We start from the raw sequence: 21244 nt of genomic DNA, 5'->3' as shown, positions 1-21244 counted from the left end.
AAGTCCAGTTTATCTGCATGCATTTTTTAAAGGAAACTTCCTATCAGTCCCTCAAGCGGAAAACCATTATCAATGACTTGTCACAGAAGACCATTGCAAAAATAAATCACAAATGTATTTAATAAAGAGAAGTCAAATGTAACAGTAAATGTATTTATAAATAAAATTTTAAATGTGTTCATCCACAGGCTGGCTCAAATCATTTTGCTGTGGTATGTGGATCTCACTTTGGGAAAGTGAGAGGCACCCCTGTACCCCTGCATCCCCCTGACTTAGTCTTTGGGTATCTTTGGTCACCAGCTTCTTCATCAACAAAATAGAGTATTGAAATAGACTGGTGGTCTTCAGACTTTTTTTTAAGCCATAGAAACTGTTTTTTTCCCCCAGCGAATTTTCTTTTTTGTGTGAACCTTGGCTTATAAAACACATAAATTTAGAGCTGCCTGGTGAAATGGTGGGCTGGGCGGGAAGTCTGAATTTTCCCTCCACAACCTCCCTCTCCTGCCCTGTGACATCGCTGAGATTTCCAGCGCTCCAAGGAATCCAGTTTGAAAAGCAGCAGATCTCAAACTGTTGTCCAAGGACGCTGCTGGCTACATCAGAATCCCCTGGAGGCTAATGAAAAATACCAGCACCTGGACCCCGATCGAGCCTGCTGAATCCCCCTCCAGGGATGGTCCCTGCGGCTTTTTGTCTCACACTGTCCAGGTGATCTGAGGGAGGTACTGATTCGGGCCCTCCTTGCTCCATGGCCTGGGATCCCTGAATGGAGGAAACTGTTGAGTCCAGTTTTCGTCCACCACAGTCACCTGCTGTAACTGGGACTAAGAACTGGTGAAACACCACAAAGATGCTGCTTTGTTTGAAGCCACCCACTGGCTCCTGCCCTGGGGCGCCAGAGAGTTCTCCATGACACAGAGCCTTCCTCCTCCTCCAGCCCTGGCCATAACCCTGGAGCCAACCCCTCAGCTCATGGGCCCTCCCCTGCCCTGCCTCGGGGCTGTGAGCTCACTCACCTCTTAAACCAGAGCAGCAGGCGGGGATGGCCCTGAGGCTTGAGAAACCTCCTCAGCTTTGGCCCCAGAAGCCGTTTCAGCAGGCGGTGGCCCAGGAAGGTGAGGACCACACAGGTGAGGACAAACAGAGCCAGGGCCCTCTGGAAATCCAGGAGGCAGGCCACCAGCAGGAAGGCAGAGAGCCCTGGGGGATGAGACAGAGGAGGGGTCAACAGCCAGGACACCACCTCTTCAGAACCCTGCAGCCCCGCCCGCGGACTCCACCTTACTCCACCCAGAGCGTGGAGGGCAGGAAAGTCACCCAACCTCACTGAGCCTGTTTCCTCATCTGGAAATGAAAACAACCACCGCTACTGTGCCAAAAAGTAGTTAGGAGGTACTGGCAGAAAGTGTTGTGAAAGGGCCTTGCAAACTGTAAAGTGCTTACCAAATGTGAGGGAGATGTGTAAGGAGGCCGTGAAGCCAAACAGCAAGAGGCGCTGGGCATCAGTGGAGCATCTGCTGTGGTCCAGCGCCATGCTAGGCCCCACGGAGGAAGGAGACGAGCCCATCAGCTACTCCGTGAAGGAGTTTACACATGTGTGCTCGGACTGCGTTCTGAAATGTTCATCAATGAGCATGCTTCCTGGAGTTTCCTTTCCCCTTTTGCCCTTCTCTTCTTTGAGCCACTCAGCCAGTCCATCAGGAAAGACACATAAGAATGGATAGCAGAGGGGGAGATGTCTCTCCCTAGATTTTTTTTTTTTTTTTTGGAGATAGGGTCTCACTTTGTTGCCCAGGCTGGAGTACAGTGGCATGATCTCGGCTGACTGCAAACTCTGCCTCCTGGGTCCAAGCAACCCTTCTGCCTCAGCCTCCCGAGTAGCTGGGATTACAGTTGCCCACCGCCATGGCTGGCTAATTTTTGTATTTTTGGTAGAGACAGGGTTTCGCCATATTGCTCAGGCTGGTGTTGAACTCCTGGGCTCAAGTGATCCGCCCACCTCAGCCTCCCAAAGTGCTGCGATTACAAGCGTAAGCCACCGCGCCCGGCCTCTCCCTGGCTTTTGAATTTCAGAATCCAGGATCTTCGAAGAATGGAAAGGACTCATAGCCATGGATAAAAAATGTGATCTGAAACATCACGAATAAAGGTAAGTTCTACCCAACCCCTCTGGTACAGGCAATAACAAGGACACTGGTATCACAGAGAAAGCGCCTGAGCCTGGCAAGGCCGCCAAGCCAGGTGTGTTTGCAGCATTGCAAGCAGTGAAGCCCTGTGACTGGCTTCCTGGTCGAGTCCCAGGGAGGTCCCAGGACTGCAGAGAGAGGAATGCCCGTGTGGTGCGTGGCAAGCAGGGCCCTAGAAAGCCAGTGAGGCTCTGCAGGCACCAAAACAGCGGAACTAGTCTCCACGAGAGGCCTGAAGAGAAGAGAGGCGGGAGACCAGAATGAGCCCACCATGGAGAAGAGGGGGTCGCCATGGCCACCTGCAAGGATAGAGGACCCAGGACCAGCTGGAGAAGTGGACAGGTCAGGAGACACTTGAGGAGTAATGATAGATAAGCCCCCCCGGTGACCCCCAGAGGAAGGGATGAAGGGAGGTTCCAAATGGACAGAAATTGAGTTCCCGTCACTCACTGGAATGATAACATTGAGGGAGAAGATAAGTTGAGTTATAAAAAATAAAATGACCTTTCTCTCACATGGAAGCTTGTGGGCTGGAGTTCCTACCTGAACGGGTGTCATTGAGACACACGGGTGGAGCCCCACAGAGCGGTGCTGGGGCTGCTGGCACCGGCCATGGGGGTTCAGGGGAGGGGGACCTGGCCAGGGAGAGGCTCCGTGGTCGCCAGGAGGTGAGCTTGGCACTTCAGATGCATTTTCACAATGAATCCTCACAAGACCCCTACAAGGTGGGGTCTACAGTGATGCCCACTTGGAGAGGGAGGCCTCTGAGGCCAGCCGAGATGAGTGCCTCACACAGGGAGGGCATGGGGCTAGGAGGCCAAGAAGGTCTGTGCGCCTCAGGGCCTGTGCTTTGTGGTCGGGGCGGGCCAGGAAGGCTGGGGGGGTCTGGGCAGGCCAGGATGGGGACTCAGGGAGAGGGGGCAGTGTGGAGGGGTCCTCCAGGAGGGGCACAAGGACAGAAGTGCTTTTGGAAGTATTTTATTCATCTAGGATCCATTCACAGGGATTGGTTTGGGGACGGGCAGGACCTGAGCTAAGCTCCTTGAAGACCTCCCTGGGCTTTGGCTGGGAGAGCGGGCAAGAGGCACCTCCTTCTTCTAAGACTGGGGACACCAAGGCCATCCTTGTTAGTCTGATGGTGCCAGCGCTGTCGCTGCACCCATGGAGAAGGCCTACCTAAGGCAAGCAAGCCACTGTCGCAGCTCAGGAGCCAAGTCCTGAGAATATGAGCCTCATTTCTCTATCACAGCTATTCCCAGAACGTCTGTGAACAGCCTCCCCAGGAAAGAGGTGATGTAATAAAGATATTGAAAAGCCAGAGAAATCAAAGTCACCCAGAAACAGAGAAAGTCACTGCTGACCATTGCAAGGGATCATTCAATGATTCAGATTGCATTCCTGACAGCCATGGCAAACATGGAAATAGGATGAGTGGGGTAATTTTCATTCTCTACTGGAGAGAATTCAATTGTTCTTCAAGAGAAACAAATCAGATCTGAGTGAAGGAGGCAGCCAAGGAAACAGAGATGGCCCTGGCTTCAGACCCTGCCAAAGGTGGACATCACCATCTCTAGAAGGAAGCTGTGAGGGACATGGACCCACCCCATCTCAGCAGATGACCCTACTTTCAAGTTCACCAAGCAGACCAGGTCATTGCTGTCGCCTCTCTCACTGCCCCTCCCCTCCAGAGCACCTATAATGACTCTGCATCTGTACCCATCCTCCTTTTTCTTTTTTTAAAATTTATTTTTATTTTTAAAATTTTTTGTAGAGGTGGGGTCTTGCTGTGTGGCCCAGGCTGGTCTCAAACTCCTGGGCTCAAACAATCCTCCCACTACAGCCTCCCACTACATCCTCCCAAAGTGCTGGGATTACAGGCATGAACCACCTGCCATGCCTGGCCCCTCTTTAATTCCAACCTGTCAGAATGAGGTGAGCTTGCTCCTGCAAAGACCCACCCCTCCCGGTGGGGTGGGGAGCTTTTCTACTCCGTGCCAGGGGACCTTGCTCCATCGGACATCTCTTCATCTCCCATTCCTTCATATTCCTTCTACAAACTCCCCACCTCAGCTCGTACAAACAAAGTGTCTCCCACCCCAAACTCATGCCCATCCTTGACACTGGGTCACACCCTGCCCATTCAGCCTCCCCGCCTGATCTCATAAAAATTGATCCAAAAAGCCATTTACACTTGCTGTCTGCACAGCCTCATCTGCCATCCGCTCCAATTCAGTTTTTGCACCTACACCCTAAGTCACCAGTGGCCTCCTTGTCCCTAAATCGGTGGACATGGCTCAGTTTTTGTCCTGCGGGTCTTGCAGAGATGCTGCTGATCTTTCCCTCCTTGAAACCCTTGCTCCTTTGGCTGCCGCCAACCCCTTCTGTGTGGCTGGTCTCCAGGCTTCTGTCCTTGACCCACTTCTCAATTCATTCTCCAAGTGTGCCTGGGGAGCCTCCTCTCTCCCTCAGATGGCCTGGCAGTGGTACCTCCAACAAACTATCCTAATTATCCCCCTTCCTGCCAAGACTCCCTCTGCACGCATGTTCTCTAGCTCTGTGGAAGACACCATCATCCTCCTATCACCCGAGCAGGCCCCTGGGGCAGCCCTAATTCAGGGTTTCCTTCATGCTGCACACCCAGTCATTGCCAAGTACAGCTAGCATTGCTTCCCAAGGACCTCTCCCATTGCCCCCGCCCACCTTCCACAGCTTCATTCTCACACAGGCATTGCAGTCCTCAATGTCTCCATCTCCCCCTCTTTCCTGCCCTCCTTCCAGGGTCCCACCGTGTGAATTCCACCTTGACGCTTCCCTGTTCAAAACCTTCAGTGGCTCTCTCTGGCCTTGAGGGTAAAATCCAAGTCCTTGAGCATCCTCCCATATCCCTACCCACTCCCCATCCTGGGCCCTTTCCTATCTCTCCAGCCCCATCCCCTGACACTCCTTGTCTAGAACTTTACCCTCCAGACCTTACAGTGCAGACGTCGAACTTTATCGAAACCCACACCCTGCCAGTTTTCACCTTTGCTCCTGTGACTCCTCTGTGTGGAGTGCCTTTGCCCTCCTTAGTATCTATCACCTCCACCTGGCTAACTCCTACTTAGCCTGTGAGACTCCAATGTCACCTCCTCCTGGAAGTCCTCCCTGATCATCCCCCATTCCTCCTTGGTGTTCCCAGATGACATGCTGCATTATGTGGGACTATTTCTTCCGCCTCCCTTACTGATGAGGGAGTGCCTTGGGAACAAGATCTGGCCTGGCTTAACAGATGCCTCAGTACCCAGCAAGGGAGCTGGACCTGAGTTGGTGCTCAACAACCATTTGTTGAATGACTGGGTGAGTGAATGACCCTGCCCTGAGACATGGATAGCTGAGGCAGGAGTCATTGTGTCCTGGGTAGTGCTGGGCCCCAGGCTCACCAGTGCAGAGCAGGCCTGTGCCGATCCATCGAAACAGCTGCATGTGCTCCCTGCAGAAGCTTCTGGCTCTCAGGGCTGGCTGCAGGTTCCTCCTGGGAACAAGACCAGCAGGGTCCATGAGTGCATGAGCAGACCCCATCTGGGGGAGATCCTCAGCACCTCCACTCAGGTATGTCCCCAGTAAAGTGGCAACAGGGGCAAGCCAGGGCTTGCCTTGACATCCCCACAGGGCTGCAGGGCAACCCCAGCCCAGGGCAAATGTAGAAATGGTTCAGGCCTTCCTGCCTCTGTGGCAGCACCCACAGGCCCCACTACCCCAGTGATAGTCCCTGCCTCCAGGGCTCAGGAGGAAGTTCACTGAAAAGGCAGAACCTCATCAACATACAGAAATGTGGCCGGTGGGGGGGCGCGGTGGCTCACACCAGTAATCCCAGCACTTTGGGAGGCCCAGGAGCGTGGATCACTTGAGCCCAGGAGTTCAAGACTAGCCTGGGCAACATGACAAACCCCTTCTCTACCAAAAACACAAAAATTAGCCAGGCATGGTGGCGTGCGCCTGTAATCCCAGCTGCTCAAGAAGCTGAGGCAGGAGAATCTCTTGAGCCCAGGAAGGGTTCGTGCCACTGCACTCCAGCCCAGGCAACAGAGTGAGACCTGCCTAAAAAAAAAAAAAGAGAGAAAGGAAGGAAGGAAGAGAAAGCAAGCAAGCAAGAAAGAAAGAGAAAGAAAGAAAAAAGAAAAGAAAGAAGGAAGGAAGAGAGAAAGAAAAGGAAGGAAGGAAGGAAGGAAGGAAGGAAGGAAGGAAGGAAGGAAGGAAGGAAGGAAAGAAGGAAGGAAGGAAAGAAGGAAGGAAGGAAAGAAGGAAGGAAGGAAAGAAAAGAAAAAGGAAAAGAAAAGAAAAGAAAAACATGGATGGCTGCCTCCCCTCCCCTGTCGTTCATCCACCTGCCCATGGGACACACATTGAGTAGACGCCCACTCAATGCTAATTGGAATCCACCCACCAGCTGCCATTTTAAGGAGCCTCACCTCCTCTCAGTCCCCACCTCCCACCTCCTCCTGAGAGGGTGGAGGAGGCATTCTTCCCATATCCCCTGCCCAGGCAGAGAGACGGAATCCCTCCCCCACCACCACCCCCTGCCCATCACGGTGTCCTCAGCTCCGGATCTGGCCAACAAGGACCCAGATGGCCCAGGCATCAGGAGGTGGAGTTCTATGCTCACCTCAGACACTCGCTGCCTATGCCATCCTGGCTGGTCCCTTCCCCTCTCTGGGCTTCTACCTCCCTGTGTAAAATCAGGGACCTTGCCCAGTTCAGGATTTTTAACCGGAGTCTTCAGACTCCCCGAGGTACCCCAGAGACTGAATGGGGGTAGAAGGCAGAAGGGGGAGGTTGAGAGGGAGGCCTGGCTGGTTCAGGGCAGGCCCCACGGTACATACTGGGGTTCCTGATGGGATTTCGTTTCAGCTGTTCAAAAGCAGGTGGGGAGCCTGTGACTTGGCTCACCCTCGAGGCTCATGTGCCTGTGCGTGTTGGCTAAAGCGCCTTTATTCCTCCCTTCAACAAAGGTTCACGTCCCCCCAACTCCCATCCGCCAGGAGGCCCGGCTCCCCATCCTGTTCCCAAGCAGCCTCCACCCCAGGCCCGCCCTTGTCTCTCCAGAGATCACCTACCATCTGGAGAAGGGCTTCGGCGCCGCCTCGCTCCAGCTGCTCCTGATCTCTGCGGGGCTCAAGTCACTCCTAGGGAGCTGGCCTTCCTCCTACAGCCCGCAGGGAGCCGTCAGGTCGGCCTGCCCCTTACCCACCCCCAGGAACTTACAGCTGGGGGTCGGGGGCCACGGTGAGACCCTGGCTGAGGAGGGGACTGGGCTGGGGCACAGGGAGGAATTAGAAGGCTACTAAACTGGATTCTGCAAGGCAGGCACTGAGCACCTACTGTGTGCAGGGCTCTGCCAGACACATCTTGCCCTCAGCGAGCTCATGGTCTGCGCAGGGACAGACACCTGCGGCCCAGCTGTGACTGAGAGGGGCCGAGGGGAGGCCTGTAAGGGAGGCCCCAGGCAGGGCTACCTCATCACATGACCTCAGGGCACCATGCACCCACCGTCTGTGGAGCTGTTTTGGGTGGGGGGTGGGTATTCTTGCATATGACAGCGTGAAAGGAGCACCCCAAGAGACAAGGGCAGTGAAGGGGAGGGGGCTTTGTCAGAGGAGCCTGGGAGCGTGCAGGGTATCCTACCAGGCTCCGAGTTCTGGGTGGTGTGCCTCGACCTGACCTGGCCACTTGAAAGCAAGGACAAGGCTCCTTGAAGGCTGAGATTTCCTTAGAGACCCCCCTCCCCCATCATCTGGTTTTGATTCTCATTCTGTAGGTCACAGCTCTAATGTCACTTCCTCACTGGGGCCTGCCCTGCCCTTTCAGACTAGGACTTTCAGACTATAGTGCACACAGTACGTGCTCAGTCAATGTTTAATGAGTGAAATAAAGGGGTCTGCCTTGTGTTGAGGAGGCCAACACACTGGGAGGTTCATAACTGTGCCAGCAAAGAGGTGAGAAGGGGGCAGAAGAATGGGGTATGAGGGAAGGTGGTGAGCAAAAGCCTCATCACCTCGGCAGCCGGGCTCAAGCCAAAGAGGCTGAGGGGTCAGGATGACTGATGGGGAAGGGTACAGACCAGGCTTTCCAAGAAATCAGCCCCCATGTTCTCCAGACCCTTGGCCACAGGTGTGAGAGAGATGGACTCTCTTCGTCTCGAGGGGTCGTTCTCCATGTCCCAGACCTTCCAGCTGAAAGACAAATCAGGGAGCGCCCAACGCTGAAAGGGAGGCCGGGCAGGGCCCAGTTTAGGGGCCCGGGGAAAGGGGAGAGGACTGAGTGGGGGGAGCAGATGCCTGGCACAGCCAGAGCCCTGCCTGGGGGCCACCTATGCCATCCCAGAGCTCACCCCTCCTTGTGACTGGGACTGCAACCTTGACTTCTCAGCACATGGAGGAGGTACCTCTTCCTTTTTCTAGAGACTGGGTCTCCCTGTGTTGCACAGGCTGGCCTCCAACTCCTGGGCTCAAGCAGTCCTCCCACCTCAGCCTCCCAAAGTGTTGGGATTACAGGCGTGCGCCACCACCCCAGCCTGCACCCACATCTGAACCTGTAAGAGGCAAGTCCTTGTGAACTCTGGGAGTTCCAGGCAGAAACAGCAAATTCTGCCCACTTCATAGGGAAGGAAAGTAAAGAATTATATACAGCCTGCATATGTATCTGATACAGGCATTTTTCTGAAGAGAGGACCTAGCTTTCATCACTCCCTACAACTGGTTAAAACTATTACCATTAAGTGAGATCTTCAGTGTATTCTACTTTTCCATCTCTGAAAGATGGAGGTGCAACATCCTTAAAGGCATCATTCCAGTTCCTGGATCCAACTATACCTGAAACCAATCCTACTCCTGGACTTTCCATTGCAAGAATCAATATAGTTCATTTTTTGCTGAAGCTCAGTTCGTAGGCTTAAGCTCATCTGTAAATAAGAGTGGTAACTAACACCTCCTCTCTCCCTTCTCTTGTTCCCGCTCCTTTTTCTCCCCTTGGGTGGTGCCCTACTCCATCCAAATGCCAGCCCAGTTAGGCTGACATACTCAGAGACCCGTGCATGTGCGTGCACACACACAGGCAGAGCCTGGGAATGCCCTGGCTCACACACAGACGCACAGCAGCGCACACAGAAGCGGGGCCCTGTTTCTACTCACGTATTTGCGGTTAACAGGTCGCTCTCAGAGAGAGAGGGAAGCACACGTCTCTGTGGGGACAAGCTGGGTCCAACCTGCTTTGGCTCTGGCTTGCCTTGTCACTTCAGCAGAAATTCCTGGGCAGAGTCCAGGGTCGGAGTAGGTTGGGCCTGCCACCCAGTTCTGCCCAGCGCCTCCCCAGAGGCCAGGGCCACAGCCAGGGTGGGGACCCCAACACGGTCTCAGGGATACAGGAAGCAGGCCCACTTGCAACCTGGCTCCCTGCAGCTCCTGCCCACTGGCTGCTGCTTCTCCATCAGAGATGCCCTCCTCTGCCCTCTCCCCAGTTCCCAAACTGACCTCTTCCAGGCCTATTAGGGCCGCTTCTTCCAGGAAGCCACCTATGTGATTATTTCCCTCCCCCTCCTTCCTTCCCATGGCCTCCTTTCCCCAGCCAGGCTGTTAGCTTTTTGCATTTTATCTTTCATTTTGCATCTTTCTCTATCTCCCTTTCTCACTAGATGGGGATTTATTATAACAGCAACCAATTTTCCTGTGCTGGAAAATGAGGAAAGCAGTGTAGCTGTGAGAAATAGTAAAAGTGTTTCAGGTCTGTCAAGAAAACAAAACCAAATCACACCATTTCCCCTTCATTTCATCTTTGTTAAATGAATACCTAAGCCAACGGTGTGCAAAGCGAAGGGCTGAATGCTTTAGTTTTCCAGTCCTCACACTAAACATTAAACTCATCTGACGGGATTCACAACATCTCTTTAATAATTAATGGTACGCGCTCAGGACAAAATCCTCTATGATGCATAAATACTTGCTAGTACCGGCACCTCCTGGTTGTTTTGGAAGTTTGGAGAGGATGGTGGATGGACACCCCCTCTTTTTGAAAACATTTTTTCTTCATCTGTCATTTGAATTACCAAAGCATTACAAGTGTATCATTAAACATTTAAACATTAGAGAAATATACAGAATGAGGGAAGTTAAAGTCCCCGGAATCTGAGCCCTCAGGGATGACCACTATTGAGTTTGTGTGGCATTTTCCTCCTTTTTTTTTTTTTTTTTGAGACGGAGTTTCACTCTTGTTGCCCAGGCTGGAGTACAGTGGTGCGAGCTCGGTTCACTGCAACCTCCGCCTCCCAAGTTCAAGCGATTCTCCTGCCTCAGCCTCCCAAGTAGCTGTGATTACAGGCATGCGCCACCACACCTGGCTAATTTTGTATTTTTAGTAGAGATGGGGTTTCTCCATGTTGGTCAGGCTGGTCTCGAACTTCCAACCTCAGGTGGTCCACCCACCTTGGCCTCCCAAAGTGCTGGGATTACAGGCATGAGCCACCGCGCCTGGCCTTTTCTCCACTTTTTTTTTCCTAAATGTATGTTATTTTATGTTATTCATTTTCCAATAGGGGATCACACAGTAACAGTGTTCTCATAATTTGATTTTTCTAGCAGAGTTCCGCACACTGTTGAGAGCCCATGTGTTACCTTGATTGAAAACTAGCCACAGAGCAAGACTCTACCTTTAAAAAAAAAAAAGAGGGGGGGCACGGTGGCTCATGCCTGCACTCCCAGCACTTTGGGAGGCCAAGGTGGGCAGATCACTTGAAGCCAGGAGTTCGAGACCAGCCTGGCCAACATGGTGAAACCCCGTCTCTACTAAAAATACAAAAATTAGCCAGGCATGGTGGCAGGTGCCTGTAGTCCCAGCTACTCGGGAGGCTGAGGCAGGAGAATTGCTTGAACCCGAGAGGTGGAGGCTGCAGTGAGCAGAGATCACACCACTGCACTCCAGCCTCGGCAACAGAGCGAGACTCTACCTCAAAAACAGAAAAGAAACAAAAACTAAATGCCTCTGAGCAGCACTACTGTCTCCATGGGTGGCCACCACAGGGATGGGCCTGGAGCTGTCCTCGAAGGGGTCTTCGCCAAGCCCTAGTGAAGAAAAAAAGGACGCTACCTGCTTTTCCACTTTGCCCTGTGCTACCCCCTTCCCCTCCTTTCTTCAGTCCCGCCTTCCCTCCTCTCCTACTGTCCTTTTCTCTCACCCTTGTTTCTGTCAGCATCCAGAGGGAAGCCAGGAACACAACACATCCAGCAGCAACCATGCAGTGCAGCTTATAACCTTCACATCGTTGTGGGCCCTAATCTCTACAACAAGGATTTAATGGGCTGTGTGTCTTGGGGTGGACCTTGAGCTTGGAGCCCAAAGGTCTCCACTCCTGACTGCCAAAGTTAACTTGCTGCCTCATCTGGTGGTGGGTAATAGAGCACATGAGGAGTCAGCGTGCTCCTGCTTAGGAAGTACCTGGCAGGGAGTCAAGCGGCATCAGGCTGGCAGGTGTCATTGCTGTCACAGGTCCCATCCGGGGTGTCCTGACACACTGCTCCCCTCCTCCAGGCCAGGAGACTCCGGGCTTCTCCCCTGCTCCTCCTCTCAAGGAGGCATGGCCAGCAGGGATCCCAGACCCCAGAAGCCAAGCGGTCTTTTCAGGTGGAATGTGGCAAAAAGCCACAGGCTGGGGAGTTGGGAGGCTGGATAGATTGGGGTGGAGACCCCAGGGAAAGACCAACAGCTGGAGGACCTCAGGTGTCCCGGCTGTGCCCCTCCAGCTGTGGGACCTCAGCATGTCCTTGGGCTTCTTGGTGGCCTGTTTCCTAAGGAGACAGCCTCTGAGGCCCGGCACACCCGCAGACGCCCGCTGAGTGAGACCTAGAGCTGAGCCAGGCCAGGGCAGAGTGGGGAGAGGACCACATAAATATACATAGATAATTTCCCTCACCATCCAGCAGAGCTCAGAAGGGTTGACAGTAAAGGGGCTGCTCCACCCCTCCAACTCTATCCCATTCCTCAGAGGCAACCACCTAACTTTTCTGGTTTTAGTTCTTCTGCAGGCCACCTCCTGTTTTAGGGAATTATTAGTCAAAGAGTTGGAGAGGATCCCTTCTCGCCAGGCTCTGACATAATAGGTTATTTTATAAGTAGTGAGTGAAACATTCAAAAAGCACAAGAACTGTCAGAAGAGTTGCTCAGCAATCTCTTTATTTTCTTCTCATGATTCTGCCCACACTCATTTCTTAGCTCTTCACAGGCGAGGTCTCTTTCATTGCATCGATTCGTGTATCCAAGCACTGGACAAATAAAGAGGCTTATCACTCGTCAAGTTCCATGAACATGACCTCATCATTCTTCTCTCCTAAACCTGGGATGATTGGCAGAAAGGGCATCCATACAACTTTTTCTTCTGCATTTGGCATTGAAAAATGGACTTCCCGTAGTCTGTAGTAGAAATATTGGAAAGTAGCAATAATCCTAGCACTTTGGGAGGCCAAGGCAGGTAGATCGCTTGAGCCCAGGACTTCAAGACCAGCCTGGGCAACACAGGGAGACCCTGTCTCTACAAAAAATAGAAAAAATTAGACAGGTGTGGTGGCGTGCACCTGTAATCCCAGCTACTCAGGAGGCTGAGGTGGGAGGATCATTTAAGCCTGGGAAGTCAAGGCTGCAGTGAACCATAATCACACCACTGCACTCCAGCCTGGGCGACAGGAGTGAGACCCTGTAAAAAAAAAAATTGATGACATAGAGCTAAATACAAAGACTAAAGAAATATCTTGGGCTTTTATACTCTTTGCTTGTGACTCTTCTAGTTTTCCTGTGGGAACGGACTAGCCCAAGTGTTAGAGCACACTGCTCTCCCGGCAACTACAGAGCTAGTTCAGCTGGTCCCAGGGGAAGAAAGCATTCCAGTACCCCAAAGGCTGGAAGCCCCCAGCCTGCTTGGCATGATTATCCAACGGTTTCCGATATAGTTTACTCCTTGACCCACTCTACTCACTGAGAACATCTGGGCACATGTGGTCATCATCCAATACAAAATGGAAGGCCGAGTCTGGGGCTCATCTACGGCAGCAACAAGAGGCCTGGTAGAATTAGGATGCCGGGTCCCACCTGCAGGAGTGCTTAAGGCCACCAGGCAGGGCGAATTTTACCCAAGCAGTTCAGAGCTCACTGTTCCCAAATATTTAATATTTAATTGATTGTACTTAAAAAGTGTATTTCCCTTGTTGTTCTTTTTACCTTCTATTCCTCTTGCCTCTCCAGCTCATATTAGCATTTTATTTATTCATTTATTTTTTTGAGACAGGGTCTCACTCTGTCTCCCTGGCTGGCGTGCAGTGGCGCAATCTCAGCTCACTACAGCCTCGACCTCCCACCAATCCTCCCACCTCAGCCTCCAGAGTAGTTGGGACTACAGATGTGCACCATACGCCAGCTAATTTTTTTTTCTTTTTTAAAAAATTTCATCCTGGTTGTTCTAATATTTATTTATTTACCTATTTTGTAGAGACAGGGTCTTACCATGTTGCCCAGGTCTAGAACTCCTGGGCTCAAGTGATCCTCCTGCCCCGGTCTCCCAAAGTGCTGGGATTACAAGTGTGAGCCACTGTGCCCAGCCTCATATCAGCTTTTCATATAGTGAGAAATTGAGATAGTTCCTTTTCAGTTTGATCCAGATCAAGATGTTCTGCAAACCAAGGGTCTTAATTCATGTTATGCTATTGGGTTCAGGGGTGATGTCCCTGTCTATTATAGGTTTTATACTAAAGGCTATATCTTCCTTCTAAAGTACACTTCCTCCAGCTATTGGCAGGGGCTGTGGAGACTATTAATTTGGATCTCCATTGCCTTATTGATCAAGTCACAGTTGATAAGCCGATTCGCTATACAGACAAAAATAATTCCTTGATTGTTCCATCTTCTCCCCCTGTCATAGAAGTGGTCTGATGTGGCCCTCACTGAGACTTAGGGCGAAGCCAGATATTTTTACAGGAGTAATCATGAAGAGGACTTAAGGCCTCCTGGCAGGAGCCAGGAAAACAAATCTACCAAAGACCAGCAGGGTCCATAGAGAAGTGCTGACAAGTAGGGCACCACAAATTAAATACAATTGTTAGGTAGAACAAAAACGGACACCTGTGAATGTCACGTCCCATATTCAGACATTGAAACTCTCCAAGCATATCTCGTCCCCTACCCCCCAGGTGGAATTCCACCACTAGTGTCCTGCCATGGAGTCAAAGGCGTGGCTGTGTCTTTCACTCTACTCTCACTGGTACTCTCACTGTTGTTCCTGGATGGGCCTGCCAATCAGACGCCATGACTCACTTGGAAACACTCCTTTCCATTTCACTACACCTGTAGAAGCAAGGTTCCTGATTCCAAGGGCTGCGTCCAATTCCCTCAGTTCTGTGGCCGTGGAGACCTGACCCATCACAGAAGCTCAATACTGGCCAGCTCATGGGCCGGGAGCCTCAGCTGTAGCATTTCCTGTTGGTTCCCATCAGTCTCCTTCCCCAGGGCAGTGCTGGTCCCCACAGGGATGAGAGCTGGAAAGGTAGTACTCAGGGGCTTGGGCAGAGAGCTTTTTTAACCACCCCAACCTCAGGAAACGGAGAGGCACTGGAGCTCCCAGGTTGGAGGGGAAGAGCAGTGTGTGAGGGGCCCTGAGATGGATCCTGTAGTTCCAGGAGATGGTGACAACAATGGTACCAGCTGGCACACTTAAGAGCTTGGCAGATGCCAGGCTCTGTGATAAGAGCCTTACATGCACTATCTCAAGGAACCCTCACAATAACCCAGTGAGGTAGGCATTGGCCACTGTTTCCCCTACCTGTCCTCCATGGGGGAGTATGACGGGGCAGCCAGTACCAGAAAGGGAGCAACTATTGAGAAGCTGGCCAACCTGAGGTAAAGCCAGGGGCCACCGCGCTGCGTGCTAGTATTTGGAAGATCTGAGCTAGCTCTTGAGGTGTCTGCCCCATGTGACCATCTCATCGGCTGCCTGACAGGCAGGATGGATTCTGGACCCCCGCTTGGACTCTACTGCTGGGGACTGTGTTCTCTGGCCAGACTCTGTGTCATCAGGGTTATGGTGTCTCTGAATGACTTCCTGGGTAAGACCCAGTGTGAATTCTGCAAGGATTGATTTACTGGGCAGTCAGCCCCATATCCTGAATAAGAATCCAACTGCTCCAAGGATATACATTTTGCCATGATAGAAAAGATGAGCCCTCATACAGTGGCTCACGCCTGTAATCCCAGCACTTTGGGAGGCTGAGGCGGGCAGATCACTTGAGGTCAGGAGTTCGAGACCAGCCTGATCAACATGGTGAAACCCAGTCTCTACTAAAAATATAAAAATTAGGTGGGCATGATGGTGCATGCCCGTAGTCCCAGCTACTCGGGAGGCTAAGGCAGGAGAATTGCTTGAGCCCAGGAGGCACAGGTTATCGTGAACCAAGATCATGCCACTGTACTGCAGCCTGGGTGACAGAGCGAGGCTCTATTTCCAAAAAAAAAAAAAAAAAAAGAAAGAAAGAAAGAAAAGAAAAAGAAAGGAAAGAAAAGATGAGCCACCAGCATGGTAGCACATGCCTGTGGTCCTGGCTACTTGGGAGGCTGAGGTGGGAGAATTGCTTGAGCCCAGGAGTTCGAGGCTGCAGTAAGCCATGATAACACCACTGCACTCCAACCTGGGCAATACAGCAAGATCCTGAAAAAAAGAAGACAGAGAGAGAGAGAGAGAGAGAAAGAGAGGAAAGAAAGGAAAGAAAGAGAGAGAGAGAGGGAAAGAAAAAGAGAAAGAAAGCGAAGAAAAGAAGAGTCCCAGTGAAATTTCTCTGTCAGCGAGAGCCAACACAGCAGGATGCCTGATGGATCTTATGCAGATTCCTTAGCCTGAGATGGGGATTCTGTTCAAGTGATTTATTGGGGGAGTGTTCTTGGGAGAAGGGGATAAGGGAGGCAGAATAGGGCCAAGGGAAGAAGCAGCAGTGTGGTCTCGGCTGGGGCTTGGCTTTAGTCTGATCCCACAGAGACACCCTAGAGCCCAAACTCTCCCATGGAGTTAGTTCCACTTTGAGGTGAAGCAAGGACAGCCTTTCGTAGCAGTGCTAGTCATGGGCCAAGGATGGGGGCAAGGATTAAGAGTGGAAGTGGGGATTGCCTCCCGGGTGAGGTGGCTTCCATTTGGCTCAGGACAATGCTTCAAAATGTATGTTTTTGGAGCAGTTGATTCTTATTCTCTGAGCGACCCCAGCATGCTTCAGAGAAGGGGCAGCTGTGAGTTGCTACCAACTAACAGCGCCTGGGGGATGGGTTCCCCGCGGTAAAGGGCATCTGGGCAGGGCACCAGCAGCATCCACTACAGGTAGGAATAGATTGCTTCTGTTGGCTGGAAGCCAGGTGCAGGCTCCTGTGGACCACTGCAGGCATGGGCCCATGACCAGGCAGGGCTTCTCCCCCATAGGCATTCTGCCTGCCTTAAAGTGGGTGAGTCTTAGGGAGGACCCTGGCTTTGTCCACAGCTTCATTCCGATGAGAATCTTTATCAGGGGTTTGGTGGAACCAAGGCAGTTTAGTGTGAAACCAGAGTATTTAATTTGGTTAGAACTGTCAGCTGGCTGGACTCCACGGGAAAGTGTCCCAAGCTGGGCCTGGATGAACTACTCCAACCACTCAAAAGCCAGTGGCCAGGCCGAGCACGGTGGCTTACGCCTGTCATCCTAGCACTTTGGGAGGCTGAGGTGGGAGGATCACTTCAGGTTAGGAGTTCAAGACCAGCCTGGCCGACATGGCGAAACCCTGTCTCTACTAAACATACAATAATTAGCCAGGCATTGTGGCACATGCCTGTAATCCCAGGTACTCGGGAGGCTGAGGCAGGAGAGTTGCTTGAACCCTGGAAGTGGAGGTTGCAGTGAGCCGAGATTGTGCCAGTGCACTCCAGCCTGGGTGACAAAGCGAAACTCAATCTCGTAAAAAAAAAAAAAAGTCCAGTGGCCAGAGCGGTTGACTGGACACTACCTCAGCCCAGAAATCCATGTGGTCATGTCCTGTTGAAACTCTACCATGAGGAATGTGTCTCAAATTCCAGGTTGAGGGTCCTTCACCCTTGTGTGTGCTGTGTCCCCTGAGGCCCTTTGGAAATAATGAGAAAGGGCCATCTCTGAACCCCATCAGTTCTGAGATCAGACAGTGCCTCATGGGAAGTGAGTTTCCAGGGCCTCTGGGTGTCAGTAGGGGGCGCCTCCTGTCCAGAGGTAGCTCCAGCCCAAACACCAAGAGCCTCTTCAAGACAGACACTGCCATCCCACTGAATTCCAGACATCTTGCATCCGCCACTGAAACTTAACAACGCAGCTCAGATTTGCCTTGGTTGAGAGGGACCCAATCCACTAAGGCAGCTCCTGAAGCAGAAGGAGGTGGTTGGAGTCGCTCTGCTGGCCTTTCCATTTTAAGAAAGGTCCAAATAATGGACCAGCAAAGGAAGTTGAACAGAAGCTCACCACTAGACAGGCTTGGGGAGACCAGAGCCCAGGAAGCCAGAGGCCAACCCCGTTGTCCCTCAAATCCCACCAATTACAAACAAGTCATTCTTGTTTTTCCACTTCTGGTAGCAACTTCTTTTTTTTTTTTTTTTTTCTTTTTTGAGACGGAGTGTCACTCTGTCACCCAGGCTGGAGTGCAGTGGTGCGATCTTGGCTCACTGCAACCTCCGCCTGCTGAGTTCAAGCAATTCTCCTGCCTCAGCCTCCCGAGTAGCTGGGACTACAGGCACGTGCCACCATACCCAGCTAATTTTTTGTATTTTTGGTAGAGACTGTTTCCCCATGCTGGCCACGCTGGTCTCGAACTCCTGACCTCGTGATCCTCCTGCCTTAACCTCCCAAAGTGCTGGGATTACAGGCATGAGCCACTGTGCCTGGCCTCTGGTAGCAACTTCTATACATAAAATAGATAATAGATACATAGATGATAGATCTTAAAATATCAATATAGGTACTATTTTTATTAATTTACTTATCTTCTATCTATCTATCTATCTATCTATCTATCTATCTATCTATCTATCTATCTATCTATCTATCATGTATTCATTTACTGTTGCCCAGGCTGGAGTGCAGTGGCGTGATTATGGCTCATTGCAGCCTGAATCTCCTGGGCCCAAGTGATCCTCCTGCCTCAGCCTCTCAAGTAGCTGGAACTACAGTCACACGCCACCACACCTGGCTAACTTATTTTTTGCAAAGACAGGGTTTCACTATGTTGTCCAGGCTGGCCTCAAACTCCTGGGCTCAAGTGATCCTCCTGTCTCAACCTCCCAAAATGTTAGGATTGCAGGCATGAGCCATAGTACCCAGCCTTTATTTTCAACTTTAGACATTATCTATTGACTCTCTATATAACAAAGATTTAGCTTTATATTACTATTCTCAGTTCTTCTCCTCATAATATTCCACTGGGGATTAATTATTCCTCCTGTGTCGGCTGGCAGGGCAGAGCAGAGAGCTGGAGGAGCCTGTTTCGATGACATCCTGGAGCTGCCGTGCCAGCCCTGGGTGGACCAGGTACAGATCTCCTACTGCCTACAGACTTCATCCTGAGGAAGAAATAACTTTGTCTTATTTAAGATCACTGTCATTCAGGGCTCTGTGATTTCCTGTTGTGGCTGATACTGGCTGATACACACTGCTCTTACGATTTTTGCAAATGTTCTTCCATGACCTGGCCCTGCCTCTGAGCCTCGGCTTGCAACACCTCTTATTCCCCAGGTACGAGCTTCCATCCCTTGCCTCTCAGTAACCAGGCTGGAAGCTCTTGCACCAGTTGTTTCCTCAGCCTGGTATGCTCTTCTCCTTCCACTTCCTCTCACCAACATCCTTCCTCCCATCTCAGCTCAAATGTGAAGGCCGGGCGCAGTGGCTCATGCCTGTAATCCCAGCACTTTGGGAGGCCGAGGCGGGTGGATCACTTGAGGTCAGGAGTTGGAGACCAGCTTGGCCAACATGGTGAGACCACATCTCTACTTAAAATACAAAATTAGCCGGGCATGGTGGCACACGCCTGTAATCTCAGCTACTTGAGAGGTTGAGGCAGGAGAATCACTTGAATCTGGGAGGTGGAGGTTGTAGTGAGCTGAGATCGCACCACCGCACTCCAGCCTGGGCAATAAGAGCGAAACTCCATCTCAAAAAAAAAAAAATGTCAAGCCTCAGAGAGGCTCCTAAGCCCATCTAAATTAGGTCCCGTCCCCGGCTGGCATTATCTCCTATTCTTCTGCTTCACAAGACTTCATACTTACATATTTGCCATTAATACATTTTTGCTGTGTTTTTAAATGTTTGTCTCCCCCACTAGACTGTAAGCTCCATAAGGGAGGAATCTATGTCTGTTTTGTTCACTCTCATGAACACAGCAAATATAATAGGCAGTCTATAAATATTAGAAAAAAAGGATTGTAAAAAAAAAAAAAGAGGTATCTTAGTTCAGAGAGGTTAAGCAACAAGCTCAAGTTCACACAGCCAGCAAAGCAGGATTTGAACTGAGACTTGTCTGACTTGTCCTAAGCTCACCAAATCTGAGAATTTGCATTTTCTTGAACCATTCCCTTCAGAAGAAGAGGAGAATTGACTATCAGGTAAACACAGTGTCCAGTCTATTGGATGATTAAATTTCTCATTGAAAAGAAATTTTAATTTTTTTTTTTTTGAGACAGAGTTTCTCTCTCTTGCCCAGGCTGGAGTGCAGTGGCACAATCTTGGCTCACTGCAACCTCTGCCTCCCAGGTTCAAGCGATTCTCCTGCCTCAGCCTCCCGAGTAGCTGGGACTACAGGTGCGTGCCAGCACGGCCTGCTAATTTTTGTATTTTTAGTAGAGACGGAGTTTTGCCATGTTGGCCAGGCTGCTCTCAAACTGCTGACCTCAGGTGATCCACCCACCTCGGCCTCCCAAAGTGCTGGGATTACAGGCATAAGCCAGCGTGCCCGGCCAAATTTAATTTTTTAAATAGAGACAGGGTCTCAAACTCCTGGGCTCAAGTGATCCTCTCACTGAAAATTAGCAAGGTGAGGGGGGAGGAGGGAGGGATAGCATTAGGAGATCTAATGTTAAATGACGAGTTAATGGGTGCAGCACACCAACATGGCACACGTATACATATGTAACAAACCTTCACGTTGTGCACATGTACCGTAAAACTTAAAGTATAATTTAAAAAAAAAGAAAATTAGCAAGGTGAATTCTTCATGCTTAAGTTCCATTTTACTGTAAATTTAACCAGAATGAGATAGCCTCCCTGAGTGATCAACTCAGGGGTATGGGAAGTATCAAGTTACAAAACTAAAACCCAGACCCTGCCCTGGGGTAAATTTATCAATTTAGTGCCACTCATCAAGGCCTCTTGGGTCCCAGCCTGAAGGCCTCTCCATGGTGATAACCCTTGTGCTGAGAGCCATCTTTCACATTTCCAGTGGCTGCTCTCTGGGGTCGGAATGAGCTAGGACTCTCTTACTTCGTATTCTGTGCTAACAGTTTTCCCGGTAACATTACCACCCCCCTCCGGTTTTTGTTTTTTTTTTTGGTTTTTTGGTTGGTGGTGGGTGGGCAGAAATCACCCCTCTTTCCCACAGTACCCCTGCTGCCCCAGGCCTCAAGGATACATGTAACTCAAGCCAGGCCAATCAGATTCTCTTTCTTGAGTAGAGACACACAGTAACAAAAGGCAGTTGGGATTGAGTCATGAGAAGGGTGCACTTAGGGTGATGGTCAGCAAGTTCCTCAGGCCAAAGTCCTCAGAGCTGCCCTGGTTACCATTGTACCCTAGGCTTGTCATTCAATTCTTCTTTCAGACCAGTGGGTTACCCTGGCATCCTTTTGTTCTTACTTAAGTTAGAGCCAGTTTATTGCTGGCAGTCAGAGAACCGTAACTGATGGTGACATTCATAGGGAAGATGTTAAAGGACATGGACTCTCTCCTTTTCCCAGGAAATAAGAGGGGTTTTTGGAATTGGTTATGGAGGTAAGATAGGGTGAAGAGCATTGAAACTCCTGTTCCTAT

General features: G+C 51.0%; 1 protein-coding gene across 23 annotated transcripts in view, besides 3 other annotated features; it reads right to left on the bottom strand.

Moving 5' to 3' along the window:
• The window catches only part of SLC28A1 (solute carrier family 28 member 1), a 90988-nt gene extending 79510 nt beyond the window's left edge, over nucleotides 1-11478 (bottom strand). For 14 of the 23 annotated variants that reach the window (XR_931945.3, NM_001321722.2, NM_001321721.2 and 11 more), the window contains exons 1-6: nucleotides 11389-11478; nucleotides 9353-9468; nucleotides 8284-8395; nucleotides 7280-7368; nucleotides 5606-5697; nucleotides 1017-1200 (exon numbers count right to left, since the gene is read on the bottom strand). Coding sequence is in view for 22 of the 23 variants with exons in the window: in NM_001321722.2 (NP_001308651.1) it covers nucleotides 1017-1200; nucleotides 5606-5697; nucleotides 7280-7368; nucleotides 8284-8379 (461 nt within the window). In the remaining variant the exon portion in view is untranslated. Of the gene's footprint in view, nucleotides 1-93; nucleotides 763-1016; nucleotides 1201-5605; nucleotides 5698-7279; nucleotides 7369-8283; nucleotides 8396-8553; nucleotides 8755-9352; nucleotides 9469-11388 lie in introns of those variants that run through there. The other 9 variants (XM_011522206.4, NM_001287762.2, NM_001287761.2 and 6 more) reach the window with 7 other exon arrangements.
• Nucleotides 5895-6463: an enhancer, noted in NCBI's record as "H3K27ac-H3K4me1 hESC enhancer chr15:85432908-85433476 (GRCh37/hg19 assembly coordinates)". NCBI's record gives its function as "activates a minimal SCP1, AML or CMV promoter by ChIP-STARR-seq in primed H9 embryonic stem cells {active_cell/tissue: H9 hESC(primed)}" and the evidence as "EXISTENCE:reporter gene assay evidence [ECO:0000049][PMID:30033119]".
• Nucleotides 11398-11898: an enhancer, noted in NCBI's record as "H3K4me1 hESC enhancer chr15:85427473-85427973 (GRCh37/hg19 assembly coordinates)". NCBI's record gives its function as "activates a minimal SCP1, AML or CMV promoter by ChIP-STARR-seq in naive H9 embryonic stem cells {active_cell/tissue: H9 hESC(naive)}" and the evidence as "EXISTENCE:reporter gene assay evidence [ECO:0000049][PMID:30033119]".
• Nucleotides 11899-12399: an enhancer, noted in NCBI's record as "H3K4me1 hESC enhancer chr15:85426972-85427472 (GRCh37/hg19 assembly coordinates)". NCBI's record gives its function as "activates a minimal SCP1, AML or CMV promoter by ChIP-STARR-seq in naive H9 embryonic stem cells {active_cell/tissue: H9 hESC(naive)}" and the evidence as "EXISTENCE:reporter gene assay evidence [ECO:0000049][PMID:30033119]".

Source organism: Homo sapiens, chromosome 15 (assembly GCF_000001405.40).
Source record: "Homo sapiens chromosome 15, GRCh38.p14 Primary Assembly".
In the NCBI taxonomy this organism is placed as follows: domain Eukaryota; kingdom Metazoa; phylum Chordata; class Mammalia; order Primates; family Hominidae; genus Homo; species Homo sapiens.
This window is presented reverse-complemented; position numbering and strand designations above follow the sequence as displayed.